This window comes from Homo sapiens, chromosome 2, assembly GCF_000001405.40.
Source record: "Homo sapiens chromosome 2, GRCh38.p14 Primary Assembly".
In the NCBI taxonomy this organism is placed as follows: Eukaryota; Metazoa; Chordata; class Mammalia; order Primates; family Hominidae; genus Homo; species Homo sapiens.
Genome location: NC_000002.12, coordinates 47,423,476 through 47,445,906, shown reverse-complemented (window position 1 = coordinate 47,445,906; position 22,431 = coordinate 47,423,476). Strand labels below are relative to the sequence as shown.

The window sequence follows — 22,431 nt, the reverse complement described above, 5'->3', positions numbered from 1 at the left end:
TATGAGATTGTCTTTCACCAGGACAGTTATGCCCAATATTCATTTTCTCTGCTAATAATCTTTATTTCATCCACTGAAACAGTTGCTATTTTTTTAAAAATCCTTTTCCCATCTGTCACTTAATATTACATCCACTGTCCACAAAGGTGCTACAATTAGATACTAAAAAGAAAAATCTACAAACTTTCTTAAAGTGGCCTTTGCTTTTTAAAAATAACTACTGCTTAAATTAAAAAGTATATTGCATACCTGATCCATATCTAAAGTTGTTTCTATCATTTCCTGAAACTTGGAGAAGTCAGAACGAAGATCAGTAAGAGGAGTCACAAAAACTGCCAACAATAATTTCTGGTGTTTTCCTAAAAGAAAGTAGTAAAACAAACAAATAAAAAGATCTCATTTTACAGAATACAAATCATAAAATTTTGACTGAGATAAACAAGCATCATTTGATCCAAAAGGTACAAATAGTACAGCAGGTCTCCAAAGTTACTATTTACTCAGGTGTTTTAATTCAAATTGTTTCGTACTCAATTTATTTTATAGAAAGGGAGATGATGTAGCACTCAAAGCTTCCCACTAATAATACACTACCTCGTCTGTAAACCCAACAAGTAATATAGATGCAGAAACATGACATTAATTATGACTAAATGAATTTCATTTCTTATAGATTTAATAACCCAAAGTCATTAAAATAAAACCTCTAGCTTACCTCATATTCCTAATTTCCATTAATGACAGTGTTCCAATTAACAGGTTAAATCAAGCCAAGTTTTTACACAATGGAACTGTGCTTGATGGTATTTAAGGGTACATGATGGGGAGGCCGGACATGATGGCTCATGCCTATAATCCCAGCACTTTCGGAGGCTGAGGTGGGCAGATCACTTGAGTTCAGGAGTTTGAGACCAGCCTGGCCAACAAGGCGAAACCTCATCTCTGCTAAAAATACAAAAATTAGCCAGGCGTGGTAGCATAGGCTTATAATCTCAGCTACTCAGGAGGTTGAAGCAGGAGAACTGCTTGAATGCAGGAGATGGAGGTTGCAGTTAGCCCAAGATCACACTACTGCCTGCCAGCCTGGGCAACAGAGAGCGAGATTCTATCTCAAACAAAAAAAAAAAAAAAAAAAAAAGAGTACATGCTGGGGAATCATGTATGAAGGAGTAAGTGAAGCAATGAGTATATAGTGTGAAAAAGCAGGACTAGAGACCTGGGTAGCAATCCCAGCTCTGCTACCTACTGGCTCTGTTATCTGGAGCATGATACTTTGAGCCTCCTTTTCCCTTTTTGTACGAAGTAATAATAACAATAGCTACCCAGAAAATAATAAATGAGATAACTATACACAATACTTGTATAGTCCTTTACACTTAACAGAAGCTGAACAATTACTTTGTATTACTACTGGTATAACACAAGGATTTTTTTTCTAATCGCCAATAAATACCCTTAGAAGAATTCTGCAAGTGATATCTAACACACTGCATTTCACTCCAAAACAATAGTTCCCAAACTTCTCCAGAAATTTTAGCAGCTACTGAAAAAACGGTGAAAAGCTACTATGAAGTCAGCAAAATTGTTTTAAGAATTCATGTTTTATTATTAATCACAAAAGCATCTATACATATTTAGAAAATAGTACATACATGTGAAGCACTATTTAGACAGAATATAAACAACACTTTGCCCACATAATGTCTGTTGTGCTACAATGCCTAGTTCTTTATTCCAAATTAGCTCATGCACTATTGGTAAATAAGGGAATTGTGGTAGCAAAATTCAGAGGTGGCACTGGTTTATGAATGGTTTTTTTTCTAGCCCATTAATGTTTTAAAGGGATCAAGGTTAAGCTCTCACACAATTAAGAGTAAGCCTTAGCAGTGAAGACCTCAGAGTAGTTGGCTTAACAGCCACTGTACTTTCCACTCACTATGTTAAGATATGTGGGAAAGCTCAAGGATACAAAACATTTGCCAGTGTTTTCAAAAAAGAAAAAAAAAAAAGAATTGAATTTCATACCATGGTTCAGATTTTTAATTCTGATGAAACTAGCCTCTATTAGAAGCAAATGCCCTCAAGGACCTACACCTCAAAGGAGAAAACAAGAGCCACAGATCTAAGGCTTCAAAGAGTTGGCTAATGCTGTTGTTTGGGTGCAAATGCCAGGAAGGCCACAGTTTTTATTACAGTCTGTTATGCTTCTGTTAGAAGCGGTTTTTAAAATTTCATGTATTTTCAGGTCTGCCTCAACCCTGTTTTTTCCATAAGCTGTTATTTTTCTATCACATGACTAAAGAAGGTTTTCCAAGAATCCATACTGCATAAGTATCTGTACGAACTTCAGAACCTATGTCACCCTCAACATGTCCTCTGGCTCCTCAAGCACATGAGCCCACTTTGCTGCAGCCCTTCTCAGTTCATAAACTTCCTTATGAGTTCACCTGCTCCCTTATCCTCCAAGCTTTCACTAGCATCTTAAATTCCATCCCTTCCTTGTAACTTGTACTAACCCCCAGTTGCCAATTTCCAACTAGACTTTGTAAAGCTACATTCTCCACTAGTGATCACAGGCTTTAGAAAGCCCTACAGTCTTAACCCAAGGACTCCTGGTATTCATAGCAGTATATAAACATAAAAGAAAATTCCAGGCTTATTTTCTCTAGCCTCTAGCTGAAATTTAGCATTTGCTTTCATCATTAATGTAGGCAATAAGCCATGGCAGTTATTACCAGTACCTGTGTCTTTGTTACCAGCCTGGCCGACAGAGCGAGATTCTGTCTCAAAAAAAAAGAGCTTTTGCATGGCAAAAGGAACAGTCAGCAGAAGGAAACAGACAAAAACAGACAACCCACAGAGTGGGAAAAAAATCTTCACAATCTATAAATCTGACAAAGGACTAATAACCAGAATCTACAACAAGCTCAAACAAACTAGCAAGAAAAAAAACAAACAATCCTATCAAAAAATGGGCTAAGGACATGAATAGACAATTCTCAAGAAGATATACAAATGGCAAACAAACATAAAAAAATGCTCAACATCACTAATGATCAGGGAAATGTAAATCAAAACCACAATGCGATACCACCTTACTCCTGCAAGAATGGCCATAATCAAAAAATCAAAAATAGATGTTGGTGTGGATGCAGTGAACAGGGAACACTTCTACACTTCTGGTGGGAATGTAAACCAGTATAACCACTAAGGAAAACAGTGTGGAGATTCCTTAAAAGTAGAACTACCAGTTGATCCAGCAATCCCACTACTGGGTATCTACCCAGGGGAAAAGATATCATTATACAAAAAAGATACTTGCACACGGATGTTTATAGCAGCACAATTCACAATTGCAAAAACGTGGAACCAACCCAAATGCCCATGAATCAACAAGTGGATAAAGAAACTGTGGTATGTATATATATATATGTATATATATGTGTGCCTGCATATGTGTATATATATGTGTGTGTGTATATATATACGTATATATGTATATATACACATATATACGTATATATATACACATATACGTGTATATATACACACATATACATATATGCAGACACACATATATACATATATACATACCACATATATACATATATATATACATACCACATATATACACACATATATACATATATATATACACATACCACATATATATATACACATACCACATATATATACCACATATATATACATACCACATATATATACACATACCACATATATAGGTGTATATATATGTATATGTGTATATATACACACACACATACATATATACGCATACATACATATATACGTGTATATATATGTATATGTGTGTATATATATGTATATATACACACACACACAATGGAATACTACTCAGCCATAAAAAGGAATGGATTGGCCAGGCTCAGTGGCTCACGCCTGTAATCCCAGCATCGAGGCGGGTGGATCACGAGGTCAGGAGTTCAACACCAGCCTAGCCAACATGGTGAAACCCCATCTCTACTAAAAATACACAAATTAGCCAGGCGTGGCACTGGGCGCCTATAATCTCAGCTACTCAGGAAGCTGAGGCACGAGAATGGCTTGAACCCAGGAGGCAGAAGTTGCAGTGAGCCAAGATGGCATCACTGCACTCCAGCCTGGGAAATAGAGCAAGACTCCGTCTCAAAAAAAAAAAAAAAAAAATTAACACTGGTTACTCTGCTAGAGTTAAACTGGGAGTTGACTTCTTTTTACATTATTACCTTTATAATTAAAAGAAAAAATATGGGGTCAGGAGCAGTGGCTCACACCGTAATCCCAGCACTTTGGGAGGCCAAGGCAGGCGGATTGCTTCAGGCCAAGAGTTTGAGGCCAGCCTGGCCAACATGGCGAAACTCCACCTCTACTGAAAATACAAAAATTAGCCGGGCATCGTGGCACGGACCTGTAATTCCAGCTACTCGGGAGGCTAAGGCACGAGAATCATCTGAACCCAGAGACCAAGGTTGCAGTGAACTGAGATTGCACCACTGCACTCCAGCCTGGGTGATACAGCAAGACTCTTGTCTCAAAAATAAAATAAAATAAAATAAAAAATAGAGGAGCTAAACAATGGGTACACATGGACATACAGAGAGAATTAACAGATACTGGGAACTCCAAAAGGGCAGAGGCAGAGAGAGGGATGAGAATTGAAAAATTACCACCTATTGGGTACAATGTTCATGGGCACAACAGAAGTCCAAAACTCACCATTACACAATATATCCATGGGACAAACCTGCACATATACCCCGAATCCATAAAAATAAAATAATAAGGCTGGGAGCAGTGGCTTACACCTGTAATCCTAGCACTTTGGGAGGCCAAGGCAGGCAGACTGCCTGAGCTCAGAAGTTCCAGACCAGCCTGGGCAACACGGTGAAACTCCACCTCTACTAAAAATACAAAAAACTAGCCAGGCGTGGTGGCATGTGCCTGTAGTCCCAGCTACTCGGGAGGCTGAGGCAGGATAACTGCTTGAACCCAGGAGGCAGAGGTTGCAGCAAGATGAGATAGCGCCACTGCACTCCAGCCTGGGCAACAAAGCGAGACTCCATCGCCAAAAAAAATAAAAAGCAAGACATAAATAGCCTGGCCTAGAAACCAGTTTTAGAAAATTACTCACAGAAAAAGAAAAAAAAAAAATCAAAACACCAGAGAAGTACACAGACCTTTAAAGTTTCTGCATAATAATTTCCTGGAATATTAAAATAAAAATAGATGTTAGCTAAATATCAATTATAATAGGTAACTGTAACTATTTAAATTGCCAAAAAGCCGGCCGGCATGGAGGCTCACGCCTGTACCCACAGCACTTTGGGAGGCTGACACAGGAGGATCACGAGGTCAGGAGTTCAAGACCAGCCTGACCAACATGGTGAAACCCCATCTCTATTAAAAATACAAAAATCAGCCGTGGTGGTGGTGCACACCTGTAATCCTAGCTACTCAGGAGGCTGAGGCAGAAGTGCTTGAACCCTTGAACCCGGGAGGTGGAGGCTGCAGTGAGCCGAGATCATGCCACTGCACTCCAGCCTGGGAGACAGAGCAAGACTCCGTCTCAAAAAAAAAAAAAAAAAAGTCAAAAAATGTCAAACATCCTCAGGAGGTTGAGGCAAGAGGATTCCTTGAGCTCAGGAGTTCAAGACCAGCCTAGGTAATATAGCAAGGCCCCATCTCAAAAAAAAAAAAAGTAAAAAGTAAAACAATATTAGTTAAATTATGGCAACTGACAATTAGTACTATATACATTATCACCCTATCAATATTTTCTATTAGACTTTTGAATACAGCCAGTTCTGCTATATAATGCAACGTATGTATTCCTAAAAATCAGAACACTATGCAGTAAATACCAGAGCCGTCTGGGTGTGGTAGGACACACCTGTAATCCCAGCACTTTGGGAGGTGAAGGCGGGCTGATTGCTTGAGCTAAGGAGTTCCAAAGCAGCCTGGCAACATGGAAAAACTGTCTCTACAAAAGTATAAAAATTAGGTGGGCAAAGGCTCACGCCTGCAGTCCCAGCTATTTGGGAGGCTGAGGTGGGAGGATAGCTTGAGGTGGGAGGATAGCTTAAGCTGGGAGGCCAAGGCTGCAGAAAGCCGAGACCACACCACTGCACTCCAGCCTGGGGAACACAGCGAGACCATTTCAAAAAAAAACAACAAAAAACCGTGCTTATGAGAAAACTGGAGTTCAAGCCACAACTCTCAGAACCTTCACCAGCGACATGTTAAAAAAAATAAAGACAGGAACCTCATAAAAGTAGTAGCACAGTTTTATACATGTGAAATGGTTAAGAAATACACAACTATTACAATAAATAAGTCACCTTGCAAAACATCTGCGGTTTGCTTGTGGAGTGGCCTTCTTTTTTTCTTTTTTTTTTTTTTTGAGACGGACTCTCGCTCTGTCGCCCAGGCTGGAGTGCAGTGGCGCAATCTTGGCTCACTGCAAGCTCTGCCTCCCCGGTTCACGCCATTCTCCTGCCTCGGCCTCCCGAGTAGCTGGGACCACAAATGCCCACCACCACGCCCGGCTAGGTTTTTCTATTTTTTTTTAGTAGAGACGGGGTTTCACCGTGTTAGCCAGGATGGTCTTGATCTCCTGACCTCATGATCCACCCACCTCGGCCTCCCAAAGTGCTGGGATTACAGACGTGAGCCACAGTGGAGTAGACTTCTAAAGGGCTGCAGCTTCTGAGTTACTGCAGAATGGTCAAAGGAATACTGTCTGAAATGGGTGGCAAAGTTGTAATACCAGATGTGAATGGGTATGGTTCATAACACATACAGGAAAATAAGGTAGGTATTTGAAGAGCGTGTGTATGTGTATCTTTTGTATATATCTACACTGCTGAGTTCAGCTGCATGCATTTTTCTGCATTCACCTAGTGTTGCCTAGGGATTTGTGCATAAGCAAACTCAAAATTTACATTATGCTCAAATTGTTCCCTAATATACCACCCACATTGGAACAAATCTGTTTTCAAAACAAGAGTTACAGCGGAACAGTGTATAATTTGGTTTAAAGACTGAAACAACCTATATCAAAACAATAATGACTACATCTGGATGGCATGATAATGATCTACAAAGAACTTATATTGCTTTTATAAACTGATGAAGATGAGATTTAAAGAACATATTTCCAACATACAAAATCCAACCAAACCTTAAATAGTAGCCTTCATAGGCTAAGGGTTTTTTAAAAAGGCTAAGTAACGCAGATTCTTTTTATCATCTCCCTTTGCAGAAATGCCAAATAAATCACTTTTATATTCTTATTCTCCATTTAGAAGGAAAGCACACAAACAGGTAAAAAATGTGATTATTATACTAATGTACTGTTATTTAGGGTCAAGGGCAATGGAGATAAACACTTCTACTCTGCATGAGAAGAGCAGAGAAGCTCACAGAAAAGGTGACATTTGAGTTCAATCTTGGAAAAATGAGTAGGGGTTCATCACATGGACAAGGACATTAAAGACAGGAAAACACGCATAGAAGCATAAAAAGGCATGGCATGTCTGGAGACTAGCAGTACTATACTGAGACAGAAGGTGTAGGTGAGGGAGTGTGGGGGAAGCTGAACAGGGAAGCAATGGCCAAGCCACGTGAAGAAATGGGGCCGTGTCCTGAAGATTATGGGAAGCAATTAATGTGTTCTGAACTAAAGAGGTAATGTGCTCTGAATTGATGACATGACCAGATGAGCTAACAAAGACTACTACCACTTCAATGAAGAAGATGCATAGACCATGGGGGGCAGGGGAATAGCAAATGTGAGGTACTTAAGGAGTGTATTAAACAGAAACAGATGATAACTGGGTATCAGGAAAGGGAAGGGTTATGCATCTCAGTATTGTAGCTGTTATAATAAAATTCATCAATAAAAAAATCTGAGGCTGGGAGTGGTGGCTCATGCCTATAACCCTGTACTTCGGGAGGACGAGGTGGGCAGATTGCTTGAGCCCAAGAGTTCGAGACCAGCCTGGCAACATGATGAAACCCCCATCTCTACAAAAAATTTTAAAAAATTAGTTGGGAATGATGGTGCATGCCTGTAGTCCCAGCTACTTGGCAGACTGAGGTGAGAGGAACACTTGAGCTGAGCCCAGGAGGTCAAGGCTCCAGCACTCCAGCCTGGGTGACAGAGTGAAACCCTGTCTCAAAAAAAAATAAAGATACCTCGGTAAATTGTTTTAAGCAGTATCAGAAATTTGCCCTAACCGTAGAATACTGTTATTTTAAGTTTTGTCCCAGCTTTTTTAGTTTTAAGAGACATAAGGAATATGGGAGGCCAAGTATACCTTTTCGGAAATTAGCTATCTCTTAGTGGAGAAAGATTTAAAAGAGCCGTAATCACTCAATGTGAATCTACTTTCTAAACGGCTGCTGCCCTCTACTGTCTCTCTGAATTCACTTTATTTATTTATTTATTTATTTATTTATTTATTTGTCAGGAATAACATTAAGCTTAGAGTTAATCAAAAACCAAAAAAACACAAGATAGCAAGAGAGCAATACTCAATTTATAGCAATATATTAATATATTAAGAAAAAGAAAAACTTTTAAGCCATGATTTTGCTTTTAAACATAGTACCTTTGGTCTATTTTCTTGTAAAGAAACTTGGGAGACTAATTGCAAAATTAGTCTCACTTTTTACTTTCTCCTTGCAGTCAGTATGGTAAAGAGCTATACTGAGTTCTGCAAAATGCCACTGTTTTTTTGTTTTGTTTTGTTTTTTTAAAACCTCACAGAGATCCTTTAGGGAGTTCCTAATGACCAGGGTACACCTAAAATTCAACAAATGTCAAACATATTGTGTAAAAGAAAAGAACACAGCTCTGAGCATAACACATGGAAAGCAGATTTTCCCCTGTAACATTTTCCAGGCTAAGCCACTTCAAACACCTAAACTGGACATCAGCTGCAAGACCTATAATGTGAAGCATCTGATTTAGATAATGTTATGATCACCATAGGTCTATATAACTTAAACCTAACACCAGAAAAGTAGGAAATTGTTGACTTGTTGCAAACTGTCATCAAGTATATTAGACTGTGCCTATACAGGGAGGTTGGGGAAGGATGCCAAGTTACCCTCAACCCCAATCCCTAACTTCCTTAATTATCCCAGGGAGTGAGAAAGATCACCCAAGGAATGTGCAGAGCAGTACTTCTTACCTTCTGGGGGAGAGGAGGGTATTTACACACGTTTTTTGTTTCTTCCCTCTCTACCAGGAAAGACATATATCCCTTGGGATATCTGATGAAAGTTACAAATTCCCAGCCTGGCCAACATAATGAAACCCTGTCTCTACTAAAAATACAAAATTAGCCAGGTGTGGTAGCACATGCCTGTAATTCCAGGTACTTGGGAGCCTGAGGCAGGAGAATCACTTGAACCAGGAGGCAGAAGTTACAGTGAGCCGAGATCACACCACTGCACTCCACCCTGAGCCACAGAGACTCCCTCTCAAAAAATAGAAAGTTACAAATCCTTTCCCCAGAAAATATACACATACACAAAATGTTGCACAAAGTTTCAGGAAGCCTCTAAGAACTCATTCAAAGAATCCCAGCTTAGACGAGCACAATGGCTCAAATTTATCCCAGCACTTTGGGAGGCCCAGGCAGGCAGATCACTTGGAAGACAAGAGTTCGAGACCAGCCTGGCCAACATGGTGAAACCCCCATCTCTACTAAAAATACAAAAATTAGCCAGGCGTGGTGGCACATGCCTGCAATCCCAGCTACACAGGAGGCTGAGGCACAAGAATCGCTTGAACCCAGAAGGCGGAGGTTGGAGTGAGCTGAGATCGCACCACTGCACTCCAGCCTGGGCAACAAAGTGAGACTCTGTCTCCACAAAAGAAAAAAAAAAATCCCAGCTTTTCCTCTTATTAAGTGAAATGGGAGCCAAAAATAGAATTTGATAAGGTAAAGGAACACTTAAGAAAGCTAAAAAGAAGGATAAAGAGAAATAACCCATGGAACAAAAAGAAAACCAAGAATACAAAAATGTTTAACATAACCTTAGGAGAGTTTCAAGGCTGGGCATGGTGGCTCACGCCTGTAATCCTAGCACTTTGGGAGGTCCGAGGTGGGTGGATCATGAGGTCAGGAGTTCAAGACCATCCTGGCCAATGTAGTGAAACCCCATCTCTACTAAAAAAATACAAAAAATTAGCCAGGCATGGTGGTGGGCACCTGTAATCCTAGCTACTCGGGAGACTGAGGCAGGAGAATCGCTTGAACCTGGGAGGTGGAGGTTGCAGTGAGCTGAGATTGTGCCACTGCACTCCAGCCTGGGTGACAGAGCAAGACTCCATCTCAAAAAAAAAAAAAAAAAAAAAAAAAAGAGTTTCAAGATCAAAATTTTCAAGATCAGTGAACTTTCGTTAAAGACTATACCAAGGCTGGGCGCAGTGGCTCACACCTGTAATCCCAGCACTTTGGGAGGCAGAGGTGTGTGGATCACCTCAGGTCGGGAGTTCGAAACCAGCCTGACCAACATCGAGAAAACCCATCTCTACTAAAAATACAAAATTAGCCAGCTGTGGTGGCAGGTGCCTGTAATCCAGCTACTTGGGAGGCTGAAGCAGGAGAATCGCTTGAACCTGGGGAGGCATAGGTTGCCGTGAGCCGATATCACGCCATTGTACTCCAGCCTGGGCAACAAGGGCAAAACTCTGTCTCAAAAAAACAAAAAACAAAAAACAAAAAAAAAAAAAGAAAGAAAAAAGCGGGGGGACTATACCGCATTCACTGGATTTAAAAAAAAATAAAGGTCACCTAGCAAATGCCATTTCAGTACTGTGGTCAGGGCTGGAAACCAGATGAATGAATGGAAGATGGGAAGTGCACGCTTTCAGAAACCCAGCTGGGAGTGGAAAGAGGGAGAGAGATATATTAATAGATGGTACTGGAAGAGGACCCAGGAACAAGGGTGCTTTTTTAAAAAATAGATGTATGCACCTAAAAATACGCAGTGGTAAAGAGCCAGTAAAGAATAAAAGCAAGTAGGAAGTAAGGAGTAAGAAGTGCGGGTGGGATGATGGGGGAAAAAAATTAAGAGAGTTCCTAACTTAAGGCCAATACTCCCTCTTGAAAATAAAAAGGATATTATTTACTATGCGATGGTAAAGATATATGGAAAAAAAATGATCAAACAGCTGATTTAAATGGTGAGAGTGAATTGTTTAGATAGCCTGTCTCCATAATTGTACCCTGATTCCATCCCTAATACTGGTCAATCACCTTCTGTTTCTAGCTGGTCCTACTGGAATAAAACAAAAGGTTCCCTCTCCCTCTCCCTCCTCTCCCTCTCCCCACGGTCTCCCTCTCCCTCTCTTTCCATGGTCTCCCCCTGATGCCGAGCCAAAGCTGGACTGTACTGCTGCCATCTCGGCTCACTACAACCTCCCTGCCTGATTCTCCTGCCTCAGCCTGCCGAGTGCCTGCGATTGCAGGTGCGCGCCGCCACGCCTGACTGGTTTTGGTATTTTTTTGGTGGAGACGGGGTTTCGCTGTGTTGGCCGGGCTGGTCTCCAGCTCCTAACCGCGAGTGATCCGCCAGCCTCGGCCTCCCGAGGTGCCGGGATGTCAGACGGAGTCGCGTTCACTCAGTGCTCAATGGTGCCCAGGCTGGGGTGCAGTGGCGTGATCTCAGTTCGCTACAACCTCCACCTCCCAGCTGCCTGCCTTGGCCCCGCAAAGTGCCGAGATTGCAGCCTCTGCCCGGCCGCCACCCCGTCTGGGAAGTGAGGAGCATCTCTGCCTGGCCGCCCATCGTCCGGGATGTGAGGAGCCTCTCTGCCTGGCTGCCCAGTCTGGAAAGTGAGGAGCGTCTCTGCCCGGCCGCCATCCCATCTAGGAAGTGAGGAGCGTCTCTACCAGGCCGCCCATCGTCTGAGATGTGGGGAGCGCCTCTGCCCTGCCGCCCCGTCTGGGATGTGAGGAGCGTCTCTGCCCGGCCGCCCCGTCTGAGAAGTGAGGAGACCCTCTGCCTGGCAACCGCCCCGTCTGAGAAGTGAGGAGCCCCTCCGCCCGGCAGCCACACCGTCTGAGAAGTGAGGAGCCCCTCCGCCCGGCAGCCACTCCGTCTGGGAAGTGAGGAGCGTCTGCGCCCGGCAGCCACCCCGTCCGGAAGGGAGGTGGGGGGGTTAGCCCCCCGCCCGGCCAGCCGCCCCATCCAGGAGGGAGATGGGGGGGTCATCCCCCCGCCCAGCCAGCCGCCCAGCCAGGAGAGAGGTGGGGGGGTCAGCACCCCGCCCGGCCAGCTGCCCCGTCCGGGAGGTGAGGGGCGCCTCTGCCCGGCCGCCCCTACTGGGAAGTGAGGAGACCCTCTGCCCGGCCAGCCGCCCCGTCCGGGAAGGATGTGGGGGGGTCAGCCCCCCGCCCGGCCAGCCGCCCCATCCGGGAGGTGAGGGGCGCCTCTGCCCGGCCGCCCCTACTGGGAAGAGAGGAGCCCCTCTGCCCGGCCAGCCGCCCCGTCCGGGAGGTGAGGGGCGCCTCTGCCTGGCCGCCCCTACTGGGAAGTGAGGAGCCGCTCTGCCCGGCCAGCCGCCCCGTCCTGGAGGCAGGTGGGGGGGTCAGCCCCCCGCCCGGCCAGCCGCCCCATCCGGGAGGTGAGGGGCGCCTCTGCCCGGCTGCCCCTACTGGGAAGAGAGGAGCCCCTCTGCCCAGCCAGCCGCCCCATCCGGGAGGGAGGTGCGGGGGGTCAGCCCCCAACCCGGCCAGCCACCCCATCCGGGAGGGAGGCGGGGAGGTCAGCCCCCCGCCTGGCCAGCCGCCCCGTCCGGGAGGGAGGCGGGGGGGGGGGGTCAGCCCCCCGCCCGGCCAGCCGCCCCGTCCGGGAGGTGAGGGGCGCCTCTGCCCGGCCGCCCCTACTGGGTAGTGAGGAGCCCCTCTGCCCGGCCACCACCCCGTCTGGGAGGTGTACTCAACAGCTCATTGAGAACGGGCCATGATGACAATGGCGGTTTTGTGGAATAGAAAGGGGGGAAAGGTGGGGAAAAGATTGAGAAATCGGATGGTTGCCGTGTCTGTGTAGAAAGAGGTAGACGTGGGAGACTTTTCATTTTGTTCTGTACTACGAAAAATTATTCTGCCTTGGGATCCTGTTGATCTGTGACCTTACCCCCAACCCTGTGCTCTCTGAAACATGTGCTGTGTCCACTCAGGGTTGAACGGATTAAGGGTGGTGCAAGATGTGCTTTGTTAAACAGATGCTTGAAGGCAGCACGCTCATTAAGAGTCATCACCACTCCCTAATCTCAAGTACCCAGGGACACAAACACTGCGGAAGGCCGCAGGGTCCTCTGCCTAGGAAAACCAGAGACCTTTGTTCACTTGTTTATCTGCTGACCTTCCCTCCACTATTGTCCTGTGACCCTGCCAAATCCCCCTCTGCGAGAAACACCCAAGAATGATCAATAAAAAACAAACAAACAAACAAACAAACAAACAAACAAAGGTTACGGAATCAGAAAAGCACAGCAGTGGAAGACACTCATTCACAGAATGGAGAAATAGAGGCACAAGGGGGATACATGGCTGCCTACACCACACTAAGAGAGTATGAAAACAGCAAAGTATAGACTCATTTTCTTTTTTTTGAGATGGAGAGTTTCGCTCTTGTTGCCCAGAATGGAGTGCAACGGCACGATCTCTGCTCACCGCAACCTCCGCCTCCCGGGTTCAGGCAATTCTCCTGCCTCAGCCTCCCGAATAGCTGGGATTACAGGCATGCGCCACCACGCCCCGCTAATTTTGTATTTTTAGTACAAATGGGGTTTCTCCATATTGGTCAGGCTGGTCTCGAATGCCCGACCTCAGGTGATCTGCCCGTCTCGGTCTCCCAAAGTGCTGGGATTACAGGTGTGAGCCACTGTGCCCAGCCAGTAAAGACTCATTTTCTTTTTCTTTTTTTTTTTTTTTTTTTTGTTGCCCAAGCTGGAGCGCAGTGGTGTGATCTCAGCTCACTGCAACCTCCACCTCCTGGGTTCAAGCGATTCTCCTGCCTCAGCCACCTGAGAAGCTGGGACTACAGGTGCGCACCACCATGTCAGCTAATTTTTTGTATTTTTGGTAGAGACAGGGTTTCACCATGTTAGCCAGAATGGTCTTGATCTCCTAACCTCATGATCCACCTGCCTCGGCCTCCCAAAGTGCTGGGATTACAAACGTACCCGGCCAAGTCTCATTTTCTTTAATTCTGCTTTGTTGGAAGTAAATGCAGGTGCTCTAAGTTTTATCAGTCTAAAGAGAAGCTTTGACTACACTAGGAATACTTTTTATAACACAGTACTTTGAGAAAATAAGCACTTAGCTACCTCTTGCACTAGATAAGGGAAAAGGTTTCTATAAAATTTAAATCTATAATTATCTTATATCTTGTCATCATAAAGTTGTATTTCTTTAAGTCTGTCTACAAAGGAACAACGAAGCTTCCCCATAATATCAAAACGTATGTTTTAATGGTTCTAAGTGATCATGATTAAGTAAAATTTTAAGATGCTTTATGTTAAAAAAATTTTTTTTTAATTACTTTGGACCCCACATTGCCTAAAAATTTTTTAAAAAAGTAAAAAATGCTTTATGTATTAGACATAACAACAATATAATTACTAAAATTACTGGAGAAACATGGTTAAAGTTTAAAACTATGCTTATTAGAGCAACGTGATTTTATCTACCAATATTGTACTAATATGTGTCTTTGCTCACTTTACTCTGGTAACTTCACTTTGAATTCAACTGTTAGAGACCACCAAGACCCTCTATCTTAACTCTCTCTCATAGGTGTGCTGTGTGAGTTAATTCCAACAATTCTATTATTAGCCTGTACTGTTTTGTTAAAGTTCCTGCATGGCAATGACCCCTGATCAAGGCATGAAAAATACTGATTGAATGGTGTTGTTTTGTATTTGTGGGTCAGGGGATATTTAGGTGGTTTATTTATCAGCATTGTTTCATGTGATTGATGAGTTGCACTTGGTCTCAATGAGGCTCTTCCTCTGACCTCCACTGAAGAGGCTAGTTAGAGAACAGGAACATGTCCGCTTGACAAGAAAAATATTAAAAAGTCCAGTGAAGACTCTATTTTGGGCTCCTAGGTTCCAAGGTGTCCTGTGCACACATCCTGCTCTGAGAGAGAAAATGCACCCCACCACAGACTTTACACAACAAAGGAAAACTGGAACTTGCACCCGAACTCTCTGGATGACTTGCTATGACAGCCTTTGACTGTGATGCATATCCTTACCATAATCCTGCTACTGGATTGTATCCTTCTCCTGTAATAAACTGTAGATGCATAACCACTGCCATTCTAGGCCCTGTGAATCTTCCTTGGCAATCAAACCCTTTTTCACTGCCTCTGTCAGTGCAATAGGCCTTAATCACAAACCAGTAACTCTAACATTCATTTCCAAAAAGCAAAAATTTCTAAGCTGTCTCATGTCTCTTGGCTTCTGCCATGAGGCTAAGAGTCAATACAAACCTGTTATTAGAAGTCTGAACATGGCCAGGCTCTGTGGCTCACGCCTGTACTCCCAGCACTTTGGGAGGCCGAGGCAGGTGGGTCACCTGAGATTGGGAGTTCCAGACGAACCTGGCCAACATGGTAAAACTAAAAGTACAAAAATTAGCCGGGCATGGTGGCACATGCCTGTAATCCCAGCCACTCAGGAAGCTGAGGCAGGAGAATCGCTTGAACCCAGGAGGCAGAGGTTGCAGTGAGCTGAGATTGTGCCACTGCACTCTAGCCTTGGCAACGGAGCAAGACTCCTTCTCAAAAAAAAAAAAAAAAGAAATCTGAATGTGTCCTAAGAGTGAGTCACCACCACCAACTTTATGAGGACAGCACATTGCCAAGTATATATTGTATGAGTTGAAGGAAAACAAAAAAACAAAATCACTTGTTACCTTCATGTTTTTCCAGAGCCTGTATAACATTAGGTAGTTGATTTATACCCTGATAGAGTCGGTAACAATCTTGTAAGTTTGCTGCTTGTCTTTGAAACTTCTTGGCAAGTCGGTTAAGATCTGGGAATCGACGAAGTAAATCTTCTTGTAAAGTCTGCCTCAATTCTGCATCTTCTACAAAAGCTTCCACTAAATTCAATCTGAAATAAATTAACTTGAATTAATGTAAAATATTTTAGTATAAAATTAAAATTTATCAACTAAGCACGTAAGTCTCAACTAAATCAGCTCAAAATTCCATTTAAAAAGCTTGAATCTGCTGGGCGCAGTGGCTCACACCTGTAATCCCAGCACTTTGAGAGGCCGAGGCAGGCAGATCACCTGAGGTAGGGAGTTCGAGACTGGCCTGACCAACATGGAGAAACCCCGTCTGTACAAAAAATACAAAATTAGCCAGGCATGGTGGCTCATGCCTGTGATCCCATCTACTTGGGAGGCTGAGGCAGGAGAATCGCTTAAACCTGGGAAGCAGAGATTGTGGTGCACTGAGATCATGCCATGGCACTCCAGCCTGGGCAACAAGAGCAAGACTCTGTCTCAAAAAAAAAAAAAAAAAGAAGCAGCCTGAATCTAGGCTAGGTGCGGTGGCTCACGCCTATAATCCCAGCATTTTGGGAAGCCACGGTGGGCAGATCTCAAGGTCAGAAGTTTGAGACCCGCCTGGCCACCCAGCATGGTGAAACCCTGTCTCTACTAAAAATACAAAAAAATTAGCTGGGCATGGTGGCGCACGCCTGTAACCCCGGCTACTCGGGAGGCTGAGGCAGGAGAATTGCTTGAACCCAGGAGGCGGAGGTTGCAGTGAGCCGAGATAGCGCCACTGTACTCCAGCCTGGGCAACAGAGCAAGACTCTGTCTCAAACAAAAAAAAAAAAAGACAGAAAGAAGGTTGAATCCTGAATCTATTCTGAAACGTTAGCTTTTTTAGAAGGTGGAAAGCTCTGTAAGACTGTGAGGCAAACATTTCCTGATTAGCTAAGAGTCAAATTAATGTTTAATTAAGCAGTATCATAAGACACTGACATATACCCAATTTTGTTTGACTTTTATCAAACAGACATGCCTTAAATAGAAGAAAGAATTTCATTACTGGGACATTGTTACAGACACGCTGTTGCACATGTAAATAGTGATGTTTAACGAAACAGAATTACAGTTCAAGAATGTTGCCAAATCCAGTACTTACATTTTTAGAATGCTTTCTAAAATTACCTCTTGACAGTACAAAGCCAAAAACTGTTAATTAAAAAACTAAAATAATTCTACTGCTTCCCAAAGTCAATAAAATCTCAGCTTGTTTCAAGAACGACAGAATATGTAGTTCATACTGCTTCTGTAAGTTATTGGAAATCAGTGACTTTTCATTTTTTTCAGTGTAACCACAGCAAGAAATGTCTTTACATCACAATCCAGCACATACATACATAGATCTATGATTAAAATAGGTTTCACAAATCAATACTTGCTACTCTAATTATGTGATACACTCTATTTTCTTTTTTTCTTTCTTTCTTTTTTTTTTTTTTTTTTTTTGAAATAGTCTTGCTCTGTTGCTGAGGCTGGAGTGCAGTGGTGCAATCTCGGCTCACTGCAACCTCCAGCTCCCGGATTCAAGTGATTCTCGTGCCTCAGCCTCCTGAGTAGCTGGGACTAGAGACGCATGCCACCACACCCCGCTAATTTTTTGTACTATTAGTAGAGACGGGGTTTCACCATGTTAGAGCCAGGAAGGTCTCGATCTTCTGACCTTGTGACCTGCCGACCTTGTGACCTGCCAGCCTCGCCTCCCAAAGTGCTGGGATTACAGGCGTGAGCCCACTCTGCTATGTTCTATTGTATTTAATTCTTCAAAAATGCTCTGTCACCTACTAATTTAACGACCCACTACTGGGTCACACCTTGCAGTTTGAAAAACAATGTTGAAGATGTTACTAAAGTAATAGCTGAAAGGTAAATTACTGAAGCTGAAAGGTAAACTAACAATCGAAGGTGGGAAAATGTTCCTACATATTTTACACATCTCTAAGTACAGTATTAGAGAAGCTTTTCTGGAGGCCATAGGCATTACAGATGACTCAAGGTTCGGAATGCTATCAGATGAGCAACGATCTTCCTTATGTTTATAAACGATGTGACAGTAAACTAAACCTCAAATTACACAGGTATAGAAAGGAAACAAATCTGCTTTCTAAATTGAGTAGCTGGGACTACAGGTGCCTGCCACCACACCCGGCTCATTTTTTTGTATTTTTAGTAGAGACGGGGTTTCACCATGTTAGCCAGGATGGTCTCGATCTCCTGACCTCGGGATCCACCCGCCTCGGCCTCCCAAAGTGCTGGGATTACAGGCGTGAGCCACCGCGCACAGCCCTAAATTTCTTAACTATTTACTGACATCACCAGCATTTACAATTCCTGTGTTACCAAAATGTTTATCAAGCATGTTATATGAGGAAAAGCATGTTATCTCCAGAGTAAACACAAAATGGCCATATATAAAAACACATTTAAAGCATAATTTCTCAATCTTGGCAACACTGCCATTTTAGGCTACATAATTTTTTGTTGTAAGGGGCTGTTCCATGCTTAACAGCATCCCTGGATTCTACCCACTATACACTCTCTTCCTCAGCATGACAACCAAAAATGTCTCTAGACACTGCTGAATGTCCCCTGGAGGGAAAAACTGCCCCAGGTTGAGACTGCTGGCTTAAAGGAACTTGAATTAAAATTTACTTTTTAAGAGAAAAGTAACCTAAACCATGTCCAGCTAACGTCTAGGCAGCTAACAACAGATACGTGTTTTTTATGGAAAATGCCAAATTAGTGGGAAAACAATTTGCTGCCAAGTTTATAGCCCCATCAATGGGGCTATAAACAAACATTTATGGAAAATGCCAAATTAGTGGGAAAACAATTTGCTGCCAAGTTTATAGCCCCATCAATGGGGCTATAAACAAACATCGAGATTAATTAGGATGCCTACTGCTACGGAAAATATTTTTGTGGCATATAACTCTACATTTGAAAAAAGAAACAATGGATGTAGTCAAATTACACAATCCAATAAAGCAAATTTTTGGGGCTTTCCTAGCTAAGCATTGAGCTTCACCAAGTCTGGTCCAAGGATCACCAGCATCAAAATCACTTGGAGGTAGATAATACAAAATCCCTGGGAATGGGGCCCAGCTGTGAAATCCCATGCAATTATTATGCACACAGCTTGATTCTTATGCTCACAGAAATTTGAATCCTAACAATCACAGAAATCCCTTAGGTATCTTAATAAAGTAGGAAGGCCAGGTGCGATGGCTCACACCGGTAATCCCAGCACTTTGGGAGGCCGAGAAGGGCGGATCACGAGGTCAAGAGATCGAGACCATCCTGGCCAACCAACATGGCGAAACCCTATCTCTACTAAAAATACAAAAATTAGCTGGGCGTAGCGGCGCACACCTGTAGTCCCAGCTACTCTGGAGGCTGAGGCAAGAGAATCACTTGCCAGATTGCAGTGAGCGAGACTGTGCCACTGCACTCCAGCCCGGGCGACAGAGCGAGGTCCCGTAATTAGCTGGGCATGGTGACGGGTGCCTGTAATCCCAGCTACTCAGGAGGCTGAGGCAGGAGAATGGCGTGAACCTGGGAGGCGGAGCTTGCAGCAAGCCGAGATCGCGCCACTGCACTTCAGCCTGGGCGACAGAGCAAGACTCTGTCTCAAAAAAAAAAAAAAAAAAAAAATTAAAGCTGGGCGCGGTGGTTCACGCCTATAATCCCAGCACTTTGGGAGGCCGAGGCGGGTGGATCACGAGGTCAGGAAATCGAGACCATCCTGGCTAACATGGTGAAACCCTGTCTCTACTAAAAATACAAAAAAAAAATTAGCAGGGCGTGGTGGCGGGCGCCTGTAGTCCCAGCTACTCGGGAGGCTGAGGCAGGAGAATGGCATGGACCCGGGAGGCGGAGCTTGCAGTGAGCAAAGATCGCACCACTGCACTCCAGCCTGGGCAACTGAGCAAGACTCTGTCTCAAAAAAAAAAAAAAAAACAATAATAATCTTATGCTTCTTCCCTGTTCCCAGTATTTTATCACTGTTTCCTCTCAAACTGACCAGAAAATAAATCATAACTAATCAACAGAGTTGAAGAGCCCACAGGCACACATATCCTTTCCTCTCGTCGGTGGAAGAGGTGGCTGTGCATCCCTACCTGTGAAATGAAAGGAGTCTGTGCAAAGTCAGCCAATTTTGTACCTCTGAAAAACTGATTTTCTACTGAATTTTATACTATATGATGTCTCACCTATTCAAGAGAAATTATTAGAAATAAAAAATTTATAAATAGATACATAGTGAAATGGAAAAAAACTGTATATACTGTTGGGAAGGAATACAGATTGTATTCCTAATACGATCCCATATTGTTTTTAAGTGTTAACTATGTTTTTAAAAATGCATATATCTGTATACATAGAGAAAAAAAACCCCTGGAAGGGTAAGAACACAAACTAAACTGTTAACACTGATTACCACCATAGACTAGGACTAGAGGTAAAGTAGAAGTACGGGTGTTTACCTTCTTAATTTATTTTTTAAAAACATGACGTGACCCTGTAGTGCTTTTCAAATAAAAAGTTATTTTAAAAATCACAAATTATGAGATATAGCAATGATAAAACATAAATAAGAAGCCAAAAATGCACACTTTTGTTGTACTTTTACAAATTGTTTGCCAACAAATTGTAAAACAGCTTTCTCTCAAGCAGCAAGAGTAACACTTCCTATTTGCTCTTCATATCCCTTTCACATCTTACAAAGGATAAACCAAGAATAAAGCAAACTTGGTAAGAGAGAACCAATGGGGTTTTGTTGTAAAGAACAAACAAGGAGGATAGATGGACTACTGCTAAGTGCTGTAGAGTAAGAACAGAACACTCTAGACTTAAAAAATCAAAACATCTCTTTCCTGTTTCTTTTTTGGTTTTTTTTTTTTTGAGATAAAGTTGTGCTCTTGTTGCCCAGGCTGGAGTGCAATGGCTCTGGTCTTGACTCCTGACCTCGGGTGATCCGCTGTCCTCAGCCTCCCAAAGTGCTGGGATTACAGGAGTGAGCCACCGCGCCCGGCGAAACATCTCTTTCCTTTTTGTCTTGTTTCTCCAAAGCCCATGAAGAGAGCTGACACCTCTAGTTTGTCCTTACTGGTTTTAAAAGATACTCAAACAGGCCGGGCACGGTGGCTCTCGCCTGTAATCTCAGCACTTTGGGAGGCCGAGGCAGGCGGATCGCATGGTCAGGAGTTTGACACCAGCCTGACCAACATGATGGAACACCGTCTCTACTAAAAATACAAAACTTAAGCCAGGCACAGTGGCTCACACCTGTAATCCTAGCACTTTGGGAGGCCAAGCAGGTGGATCACCTGAGGTCAGGAGTTCATGACCAGCCTGGCCAACATGGCGAAACCCTGTCTCTACTAAAAATACAAAAATTAGCCAGACGTGGTGGCGACGTGGTGGCACACGCCTGTAATCCCAGCTACTCGGGAGGCTGAGGAAGGAGAATCACTTAATCGCTTGAAACTGGGAGGTGGAGGTTGCAGTGAGCTGAGATCACACCACTGCACTCCAGCCTGCCCGACGGGAGCAAGATTCCATCCAAAAAAAAAAATTAGCTGGGGATGGTAGCCCATACCTGTAATCCCAGCTACTCGGGAGGCTGAAGCAGGAGAATTGCTTGATTGAACCCGGGAGGTGGAGGATGCAGTGAGCCAAGATTGCACCACTACACTCCACAGAGCAAGACTCTGTCTCAAATTAAAAAAAGAAAAAAAGATACTCAAACCACTTCCAAATGATTGGAATGCCTTATCTAGATCAAATCTTCATTAATTTTTCCTTAACAATGGACATATTCTCTCCAAGCTGGATTTCATATACAGCATATCAAACATAATTTTCAGAAAATTCAGAAACAACCATCAGGCTTCTTTCCTTCCTAAGCCCCCCAATTTAAACCCAAATAACAACTGCAATATTCAAAAGAATAAAATGTCAACCTTTCGTTAATTTCCCAAAAATTAACTTTAATTAAAATGAAATTTAAGTTATTTCACAATTTTCACCTATAAAGTAGCATTAAGGACTGGGTGCAGTGGCTCACACCTGTAATCCCAGCACTTTGGGAGGCTGAGGCAGACAGATCACCTGAGGTCAGCAGTTCAAGACCAGCCTGGCCAACATGGCAAAGCCCCATCTCTACTAAAAATACAAAAATTAGCTGGGCGTGGTGGCAGGTGCCTGTAATCCTAGCTACTTGGGAGGCTGAGGCTGGAGAATCATTTGAACCTGGGAGGCAGAGGTTGCAGTGGGCCAAAATGGCACCGTTGCACTCCAGCCTGGGCAACAAGAGCGA

At 43.5% G+C, this 22,431-nt stretch overlaps 1 protein-coding gene across 60 annotated transcripts in view, besides 1 other annotated feature; it reads right to left on the bottom strand.

Moving 5' to 3' along the window:
• MSH2 (mutS homolog 2) overlaps positions 1–22,431 on the bottom strand; it is a 306,764-nt gene that overhangs the window by 263,924 nt on the left and 20,409 nt on the right. For 52 of the 60 annotated variants that reach the window (NR_176242.1, NR_176244.1, NR_176248.1 and 49 more), the window contains 2 exons: positions 15,966–16,165; positions 250–359 (listed from right to left, as the gene is read on the bottom strand). Coding sequence is in view for 39 of the 60 variants with exons in the window: in NM_001258281.1 (NP_001245210.1) it covers positions 250–359; positions 15,966–16,165 (310 nt within the window). In the remaining 21 variants the exon portion in view is untranslated. Of the gene's footprint in view, positions 1–249; positions 360–715; positions 946–15,965; positions 16,166–21,711; positions 21,824–22,431 lie in introns of all 60 variants that reach the window. The other 8 variants (NM_001406669.1, NM_001406660.1, NM_001406661.1 and 5 more) reach the window with 3 other exon arrangements.
• Positions 19,150–19,649: an enhancer, noted in NCBI's record as "H3K4me1 hESC enhancer chr2:47653397-47653896 (GRCh37/hg19 assembly coordinates)". NCBI's record gives its function as "activates a minimal SCP1, AML or CMV promoter by ChIP-STARR-seq in naive H9 embryonic stem cells {active_cell/tissue: H9 hESC(naive)}" and the evidence as "EXISTENCE:reporter gene assay evidence [ECO:0000049][PMID:30033119]".